This window comes from Homo sapiens, chromosome 2 (assembly GCF_000001405.40).
Source record: "Homo sapiens chromosome 2, GRCh38.p14 Primary Assembly".
In the NCBI taxonomy this organism is placed as follows: Eukaryota; Metazoa; Chordata; class Mammalia; order Primates; family Hominidae; genus Homo; species Homo sapiens.
The window spans coordinates 128860682-128870967 of NC_000002.12; the positions used below are offsets into that span (position 1 = coordinate 128860682).

The 10286-nt window shown below is 42.7% G+C and overlaps 1 long non-coding RNA gene across 1 annotated transcript, besides 1 other annotated feature; it reads left to right on the top strand.

Moving 5' to 3' along the window:
* Positions 3509 to 4099: an enhancer, noted in NCBI's record as "NANOG-H3K27ac-H3K4me1 hESC enhancer chr2:129621764-129622354 (GRCh37/hg19 assembly coordinates)". NCBI's record gives its function as "activates a minimal SCP1, AML or CMV promoter by ChIP-STARR-seq in primed H9 embryonic stem cells {active_cell/tissue: H9 hESC(primed)}" and the evidence as "EXISTENCE:reporter gene assay evidence [ECO:0000049][PMID:30033119]".
* LOC101927881 (uncharacterized) lies at positions 3919 to 8046 on the top strand. Its single transcript, NR_110278.1, has 3 exons — positions 3919 to 4075; positions 4990 to 5053; positions 7177 to 8046. It is a non-coding gene; the product is annotated as an uncharacterized LOC101927881 (long non-coding RNA).
* Positions 8047 to 10286: the final 2240 nt, after the last annotated feature.

Here is a 10286-nt window from a genome sequence, read left to right on the forward strand (position 1 = left end):
CTCCTTGAAGAGGTCCTTCTCATCCCTTGTAAGTTGGATTCCTAGGTATTTTATTCTCTTTGAAGCAATTGTGAATGGGAGTTCACTCATGATTTGGCTCTCTGTTTGTCTGTTGTTGGTGTATAAGAATGCTTGTGATTTTTGTACATTGATTTTGTATCCTGAGACTTTGCTGAAGTTGCTTATCAGCTTAAGAAGATTTTGGGCTGAGACGATGGGGTTTTCTAGATAAACAATCATGTCGTCTGCAAACAGGGACAATTTGACTTCCTCTTTTCCTAATTGAATACCCTTTATTTCCTTCTCCTGCCTGATTGCCCTGGCCAGAACTTCCAACACTATGTTGAATAGGAGTGGTGAGAGAGGGCATCCCTGTCTTGTGCCAGTTTTCAAAGGGAATGCTTCCAGTTTTTGCCCATTCAGTATGATATTGGCTGTGGGTTTGTCATAGATAGCTCTTATTATTTTGAAATACGTCCCATCAATACCTAATTTATTGAGAGTTTTTAGCATTAAGGGTTGTTGAATTTTGTCAAAGGCTTTTTCTGCATCTATTGAGATAATTATGTGGTTTTTGTCTTTGGCTCTGTTTATATGCTGGATTACATTTATTGATTTGCGTATATTGAACCAGCCTTGCATCCCAGGGATGAAGCCCACTTGATCATGGTGGATAAGCTTTTTGATGTGCTGCTGGATTCGGTTTGCCAGTATTTTATTGAGGATTTTTGCATCAATGTTCATCAAGGATATTGGTCTAAAATTCTCTTTTTTGGTTGTGTCTCTGCCCGGCTTTGGTATCAGAATGATGCTGGCCTCATAAAATGAGTTAGGGAGGATTCCCTCTTTTTCTATTGATTGGAATAGTTTCAGAAGGAATGGTACCAGTTCCTCCTTGTACCTCTGGTAGAATTCGGCTGTGAATCCATCTGGTCCTGGACTCTTTTTGGTTGGTAAACTATTGATTATTGCCCCAATTTCAGCTCCTGTTATTGGTCTATTCAGAGATTCAACTTCTTCCTGGTTTAGTCTTGGGAGAGTGTATGTGTCGAGGAATGTATCCATTTCTTCTAGATTTTCTAGTTTATTTGCGTAGAGGTGTTTGTAGTATTCTCTGATGGTAGTTTGTATTTCTGTGGGATCAGTGGTGATATCCCCTTTATCATTTTTTATTGTGTCTATTTGATTCTTCTCTCTTTTTTTCTTTATTAGTCTTGCTAGCAGTCTATCAATTTTGTTGATCCTTTCAAAAAACCAGCTCCTGGATTCATTGATTTTTTGAAGGGTTTTTTGTGTCTCTATTTCCTTCAGTTCTGCTCTGATTTTAGTTATTTCTTGCCTTCTGCTAGCTTTTGAATGTGTTTGCTCTTGCTTTTCTAGTTCTTTTAATTGTGATGTTAGGGTGTCAATTTTGGATCTTTCCTGCTTTCTCTTGTGGGCATTTAGTGCTATAAATTTCCCTCTACACACTGCTTTGAATGCGTCCCAGAGATTCTGGTATGTTGTGTCTTTGTTCTCGTTGGTTTCAAAGAACATCTTTATTTCCGCCTTCATTTCATTATGTACCCAGTAGTCATTCAGGAGCAGGTTGTTCAGTTTCCATGTAGTTGAGCGGCTTTGAGTGAGATTCTTAATCCTGAGTTCTAGTTTGATTGCACTGTGGTCTGAGAGATAGTTTGTTATAATTTCTGTTCTTTTACATTTGCTGAGGAGAGCTTTACTTCCAACTATGTGGTCAATTTTGGAATAGGTGTGGTGTGGTGCTGAAAAAAATGTATATTCTGTTGATTTGGGGTGGAGAGTTCTGTAGATGTCTATTAGGTCCGCTTGGTACAGAGCTGAGTTCAATTCCTGGGTATCCTTGTTGACTTTCTGTCTCGTTGATCTGTCTAATGTTGACAGTGGGGTGTTAAAGTCTCCCATTATTAATGTGTGGGAGTCTAAGTCTCTTTGTAGGTCACTCAGGACTTGCTTTATGAATCTGGGTGCTCCTGTATTGGGTGCATATATATTTAGGATAGTTAGCTCCTCTTGTTGAATTGATCCCTTTACCATTATGTAATGGCCTTCTTTGTCTCTTTTGATCTTTGTTGGTTTAAAGTCTGTTTTATCAGAGACTAGGATTGCAACCCCTGCTTTTTTTTGTTTTCCATTTGCTTGGTAGATCTTCCTCCATCCTTTTATTTTGAGCCTATGTGTGTCTCTGCACGTGAGATGGGTTTCCTGAATACAGCACACTGATGGGTCTTGACTCTTTATCCAACTTGCCAGTCTGTGTCTTTTAATTGGAGCATTTAGTCCATTTACATTTAAAGTTAATATTGTTATGTGTGAATTTGATCCTGTCATTATGATTTTAGCTGGTGATTTTGCTCGTTAGTTGATGCAGTTTCTTCCTAGTCTCGATGGTCTTTACATTTTGGCATGATTTTGCAGCGGCTGGTACCAGTTGTTCCTTTCCATGTTTAGCGCTTCCTTCAGGAGCTCTTTTAAGGCAGGCCTGGTGGTGACAAAATCTCTCAGCATTTGCTTGTCTGTAAAGTATTTTATTTCTCCTTCACTTATGAAGCTTAGTTTGGCTGGATATGAAATTCTGGGTTGAAAATTCTTTTCTTTAAGAATGTTGAATATTGGCCCCCACTCTCTTCTGGCTTGTACGGTTTCTGCCGAGATATCCGCTGTTAGTCTGATGGGCTTCCCTTTGAGGGTAACCCGACCTTTCTCTCTGGCTGCCCTTAACATTTTTTCCTTCATTTCAACTTTGGTGAATCTGACAATTATGTGTCTTGGAGTTGCTCTTCTCGAGGAGTATCTTTGTGGCGTTCTGTGTATTTCCTGAATCTGAATGTTGGCCTGCCTTGCTAGATTGGGGAAGTTCTCCTGGATAATATCCTGTAGAGTGTTTTCCAACTTGGTTCCATTCTCCGCATCACTTTCAGGTACACCAATCAGACGTAGATTTGGTCTTTTCACATAGTCCCATATTTCTTGGAGGCTTTGCTCATTTCTTTTTATTCTTTTTTCTCTAACCTTCCCTTCTCGGTTCATTTCATTCATTTCATCTTCCATTGCTGATACCCTTTCTTCCAGTTGATCACATCGGCTCCTGAGGCTTCTGCATTCTTCACGTAGTTCTTGAGCCTTGGTTTTCAGCTCCATCAGCTCCTTTAAGCACTTCTCTGTATTGGTTATTCTAGTTATACATTCTTCTAAATTTTTTTCAAAGTTTTCAACTTCTTTGCCTTTGGTTTGAATGTCTTCCCGTAGCTCAGAGTAATTTGATCGTCTGAAGCCTTCTTCTCTCAGCTCGTCAAAGTCATTCTCCATCCAGCTTTGTTCCGTTGCTGGTGAGGAACTGCGTTCCTTTGGAGGAGGAGAGGCGCTCTGCGTTTTAGAGTTTCCAGTTTTTCTGTTCTGTTTTTTCCCCATCTTTGTGGTTTTATCTACTTTTGGTCTTTGATGATGGTGATGTACAGATGGGTTTTTGGTGTGGATGTCCTTTCTGTTTGTTAGTTTTCCTTCTAACAGACAGCACCCTCAGCTGCAGGTCTGTTGGAATACCCTGCCGTGTCAGGTGTCAGTGTGCCCCTGCTGGGGGGTGCCTCCCAGTTAGGCTGCTCGGGGGTCAGGGGTCAGGGACCCACTTGAGGAGGCAGTCTGCCCGTTCTCAGATCTCCAGCTGCGTGCTGGGAGAACCACTGCTCTCTTCAAAGCTGTCAGACAGGGTCATTTAAGTCTGCAGAGGTTACTGCTGTCTTTTTGTTTGTCTGTGCCCTGCCCCCAGAGGTGGAGCCTACAGAGGCAGGCAGGCCTCCTTGAGCTGTGGTGGGCTCCACCCAGTTCGAGCTTCCCGGCTGCTTTGTTTACCTAAGCAAGCCTGGGCAATGGCGGGCGCCCCTCCCCCAGCCTCGCTGCCGCCTTGCAGTTTGATCTCAGACTGCTGTGCTAGCAATCAGCGAGATTCCGTGGGCGTAGGACCCTCCGAGCCAGGTGTGGGATATAGTCTCGTGCTGCGCCGTTTTTTAAGCCGGTCTGAAAAGCGCAATATTCGGGTGGGAGTGACCCGATTTTCCAGGTGCGTCCGTCACCCCTTTCTTTGACTCGGAAAGGGAACTCCCTGACCCCTTGCGCTTCCCAGGTGAGGCAATGCCTCGCCCTGCTTCGGCTCGCGCCCGGTGCGCGCACCCACTGGCCTGCGCCCACTGTCTGGCACTCCCTACTGAGATGAACCCGGTACCTCAGATGGAAATGCAGAAATCACCCATCTTCTGCGTCGCTCACGCTGGGAGCTGTAGACCGGAGCTGTTCCTATTCGGCCATCTTGGCTCCTCCTCCGCTATGATTATTTTTAAAAATATTATTGAACTTTATTCTGGGAAGCAATTACTTAGAAACAGTTTGCCTGTTTCAGGACTTAATTCTACAACTTGTTAGGTGGGTCAGGGGCTATGCTCCATCTGTTGCTTATTATTTCTTACTACTAAGGCAAGCCTTTCTCAAGTAGACTACCCAATGAGCCATAAATTATGAGTTTTCCACTCACTGGAGCCAGCAGGAATAGATACTATTACCAGATGCATGTGAGCCCTAGATTCTCTTCTATTGTACTTTCAGATGTTCCCCCACACCCTGGTGTAGTTTCTATACACGAAGTGCTGAGTATTACTCTGTTGAGTGAATAGTGAAGAGGAGCCTCTGCAGATCTCTAAGCTTCTGCCTATGGATGCTCCACTCTTTTGTATACTGCAAACCAACTGCTTTCATCTCCCTGGACTCTCAGCTCTATCTTGTCAACTTAGGGAGACCAGCAAGGTGTGCCTGGGTTTCCTCTCTCTGTCCTCGCCTGGAGATTCTTTCAAGCCGTCAGTTGGGGATTCATAGGGCTCACCTAGTTTGTTTCTATCTCTGAGAGATGACTGTCCTTCATTGTCTGATACTCAGTGTTTTGAAAAGCAATGTTTACTATATTTTGTTTGTTTCTTGTTGCAGGTGGGAAGTGGGAAGATAAATCAGATCCCTGCTACTCCTTAAGCAGAAGTGAAATTCATTCATGGTATCCCTAATAACATTCTTAGTTAACATGAATGTGTTATGTGTTTTCTGTGTATGAATAAGTGAGCTTAGAGATTCATATTAGCAAGTCATTGATCTCCATGATAACTCTGCAGGGCAAGCATTAGCTGGCTCTAACGCCCACCTTCTGTACGATGCTAGGCACATTATTTTACCTCTGGGTTTTTTAATCTACAAAATGGTGATTATGATAAGTAACAATTTCCACAAATTGTTGAGAAAATTAAATGAGATAAAAATAGAGCACTTCGCTCATCACTTGATGTATAGAAAACACTCAATATGAGGAAGTCAAGCATAGTGAGGTTAAGTAACTTGCTAAAAGTCTCACAGTTGTTGAATGTCAGAGCTTGGGTGGGAATAAGCATCATTGAACCCAGGAAATCTGTAGTGTCTCTCCAGGGAATAATGGATGTGGTTTCCCCGTGGAAGGGAGGTCACTTAGCTGGCCACATTGGCAACCTAGGAAAATGAAGGCATGGTCTTAGCTGTAGTGGGGACATTGGGAGGGAGTTGATGGAATAAGCTGGAGAAACACCTCCCAGCATGTATCCTCCGGAACACTAGTGCCTAGTGAGCCAGATAAAGGGTTCTGAGGCCGCAGACTTTAATAAATTGTGTGGTGTTTCACAATGAGGCTTCATAGCGCCCATGGCAGAGCAAAGATTCTAACAAATCTGTACTAGGAAAACTTCTTAACTTCATTTAATCTTAACATCCTGTAGAATTGGCCATTCTTAAAGTCCTAGATTTAAAATAAAGTCTATTTAGAAGCTAAAGTTGATGGTTTAATGATGGCTTGGCTATGGAGTGACAAGGTCTGATAATTGTATGTGTGTGTGTGTATATATGTATATATTATATAAAAGAAATACTATATATATTAGAAATACTATACATATATAGCTCCTGCTACTATACATACGAAATACATACACTAGTATATATATTATTACTAATATATATTAGTATATATATTTATTTAATCCACAAAATTGTGATTAGGATAAATATGTATACTAGTATATATTGGTATGTATATTTCTTATATCTAGTATATATGTTTTATATATATATCAGAAATACTATATATATGTAATATGTAATATATATATATATGGCTTCTGAATTGTACCTGGTGCACACTAGTTGCTCTATAAATTAAGGAATTATTTTATACATAGATGGAAAGTGCACTAGTTTAAGACCTTCGATGTCATATAGAATTGAATTCAAATCTTGTCACTTATGATTTATGTGACCTCAGTGTTTCACCTAATCTCACTTTGCCTCAGTTTCCTCAAATGCAAAAGAGTTATAATAAAATCCCCCTCACAGAATATATAATTTACGAATTTACTAAGCAATTCTGCAGTAAAAATCAGCCCTGCACTATATTGTTTTGCAGAGAACTTGGCTCCTGTAAATTCCTTTCCTCTTTCTCTTCCTGTGCTCTGAGGTAGGTCTGGACAGACTTCTTTGTGCTTCAGAAGCTCATCATCGACACAGCAGATTGCACTGGAACTTCCTCAGTGCATGCAGATGTGGAAGCCACCTCCTGGTTCATCTAGTACATGCTCAACCGTGGCCTGAGTGGCTCAGATGTATTTGGGCCTCATTGCATTTAGCAAGTTAATTGTTCATTAAGAGGAAGGGACATTCACAGAGCTGGACCAACATCCTGATAAAATACCCAGTGACTTTCAGTGTTTGATTTATGAGCACAGGCTCGGCTCCTTGCAGGCTTGTGTCAGGACGGGCTGGAGCGATAAGCACATATTTATCTTCAGGCCTTGATGAATGACAGGGGAACGCGGTACTGTAAAGGCAACAAAGCCACCCCGTGGGCAGAGGACAGTCGCTGGGTGCATTGGGAAAGCTGGAGCAGACTCCTTGTGGGAAGACAATGAACGGAATTAGAAGTTAGGGTTTTAATTATCATACAAATTAGAAGAGGATTAATCAGCTCATATTTTATGACATGACATGGTGTGGAGGACTGCCGGTTAAGTTTTATGGCAAATCTTTGATTAATTGAGACACAGCATGAAGGTATAAAATCCAGACTACAGCTGCATGTTAATCTCTCCCTTTCCTTCCAAGGTTAGAAGCCGGTGTAAGAGAGATGGCTGCTGAAGACACATAGCCGCACGTGTGAACATGGCCTCACAGCTTGCCTCTCCATAAGAGGTTTATTTGTCTTCTCATATTTGTTCAATGTGGACAAGAACCTTCTGGCCCCTGCTCCTCTTTTGCATTTGGAATCCTTTGACTTCTGCTTTCTTGAGGAGTGAGGCTCCTGGGCAAGTTGTCACCCAACTCTGGGCAGTCATCCCAGGACCTGAGAGTCACTGCAAATCCTTGCTCAGAACCCCATGCCCATGTGTTCATCCTTGCGTACTTTCCCAGGCCCCAGACCAAATTAAAACTTGGCAGTTGAATCACGGTTTTCACAAAATCAGCCCAACAAACTATGGCTCCAAGTCCAGCAGGGCTGGGCCACTCAAGGCAGAGTAAAGCTTCAGAGACAGAAATGGAAAGCTGACCAGGGCTGCCCAGGAGCCGTGACGAAGGAGACTTGTCACTCTGTTGCTGCAAACACAGAAGTGTTTAGAGTGTGTAGGCCACTGTTCCAGGTAAGAGTCTCATGGAGAACTTGAGAAGGACTGTGTGTGTGCGGCCAAGGTAAGTCTCAGACGGAAGGCATGTGCTAACAGGGCAGCTAACAGATCTGCAGAATGTAATGTGCCTGACCCTGAGCTGCTGATCTACCTCACACTCCAATTCAATTCAGTCCTTTCAGTTGCTTAAGGAAATCAGCAGTTATCTGATTTCTCAACGAGTCCTGTAGGTTCTACTATAAAAATATATGGAAGAACCACCTATTTCTCACCACTGCTATTTAGACCATGCTGCTCCACCCACTTCTACCTTCACCTGGGCTCTGGGTTACTGCGGTAACTTCCTCCTCGGCCCACATCTTCCATCCCTGTCCACTTAGGTCTATTCTCAACACCCCTGCCAGAATGAGGTGTTGAAATGTAAATCAAATCATGTCCCCACCCTGCTCAGCCCTCTGATGACTGTGACTCACTTCAAATACAAGTCAGTCTGTGTGGTGCCCTGCAAGGCAATGAGATCTGGCCCTGGTGACCTCCTGGGCCTCACTTCCCACTGCTGTCCTTTTTCCACTCCACATAGCGTCACAGCATTGGCACTTGCTGGCTCCCCTGCCTGGAATTCTCCTCCTTCTGGTAGCCATGTGGCCCAGCTCCCTTGCTCTGTTTCAGCCTTCCCCCAAGGAAGAGTGAGGCTGCTCTACCTTCAGACCCAAAACGCAACATGAACTCTCCTCTGGGTCAGGAATGCCTTGTTTAGCCACCCTATGTACAACGGGAGCTCTCTCTTCAACAGACTCACAGTAGCCCATGGCATACAGATGTTCTGGTGAATGTTCAATATCTGGTTTGTGGCTAGGGGATGGGCACACCAATTTTTGGTGCTTACTGATTTCCACAATGTAAATGCTTTCACTGTGGCCAATTTTAAGCTACCAAAGTGATGACACAACTGCCTTGCAAAATTCCTGAAAGTAAAGTAATTGGCTTTTGCAAGCCAGTGTGAGCTGGCTCTGGCACACGCTATAGTCCTTGTCTGTTCTGTTTTTCCCCTTGGTTTCAATTCTGACATACTATATACGTCATTCATATATCATGTATATTAGATGTCTTCCCATTACAATATAGTTTTCACAGGAGCAGTGATTTTTTGACACTTTGTTCATTGCTGGTACAGTGTCCACTACAGGGCCTATCACAAGTAGGTGCTCAATACAATTTTGCTGAATGAGAGTATTAATGAAAGATGAGCATCTACTCCTTATCAGATATTGACAAGTTTGGGGATACAGAGTATAAGACAATGTTCTTGATCTTGACTTCTATCCAGTGGTGAAGACAAGCCTTTGCAATACAATGAAATAGCAACTAAATAGTGGTTATTCCTGGTAGGCGTTAGAACATAGAAAAATCATTGAAACAAAATTTAAGTATCAGAGTTGATTAATTCTTATGTGAATGGGGATGTAATTGTGTAACTATTAATAGTATTTGACCAAGGCTCCCTGGAATGTCTTCTAATACCCTTTGTCTTCATTAAATTTTAGATATATACATAGAACATTATAGTGCTTTCCTGACCCGCTGAGTGCCTCTAACTCTTCATTATGCATGATAGCTACAATGAAGCACATAGCTTAGTCTAGCTTCTACCAACCACAATGTCCACTTTACCAACCAGTCAACCCTTGGAGCTAGAAGTCATTAAAACACCTTATATTAGCCTTAATGCTTGAGAATGAAGTAAAGTGAGAGTGAGTTAATTGTACCTGCCAATGGGGCACCTTCGGCCTCTGTTCAGTCTCATGTCATGGGTGGCAGGGATGGTAAAGAAGGCCACAACAGAGCATGCCTTTATTTATTTATTACGTTTTATTTTTTATTTGTTTGTAGAGATGGGGTTTCACTACATTGCCCTCAAGTGATTCCCCAACCTTTGCTTCCCAAAGTGCTAGGGTTACAGGTATGAGCCACCGTGCCCCGCCACAGCATGCCTTTTAAAACAGTGATTGGGCCAGGTGCGGTGGCTCACACCTGTAATCCCTGCACTTTGGGAGGCCAAGGCGGGTGGATCACCTGAGGTCAGGAGTTCAAGACCAACCTGGCCAACATGATGAAACCCCGTCTCTACTAAAACTACAAAAAATTAGCTGGATGTGGAGGCGGGTGCCTTTAATCCCAGCTACTTGGGAGGCTGGGGCAGCCTCCCAAGTTCAAGAATTGCTTGAACCTGGGAGGCAGAGGTTGCAGTGAGCTGAGATCTCTCCACTGCACTCCAGCCTGGGTGACAGAGCAAGACTCTGTCTCAAAAGCAAACAAACAAACAAAAACAAAAACCACAGTGATTGTATTTACTGGTAAACATGGTCCCAAAGGAACATAACCCCATTAGACTAGTGTTTACTTCATTTTGAAGAGTAAGGAGAGGATGAGGAGAAGAGTCATGGCTTTCCTTCCCTCTGCATGTTGCTAGTGACTTAATGTGCAATTTATCCCAATGACAGATGCATTTTAAAACATGGTAGCATGAAGAAAATGAACATGTACTGGCAATGCTAGGTTACTCTGCTGGATTCCCCACACACATTTATAGAC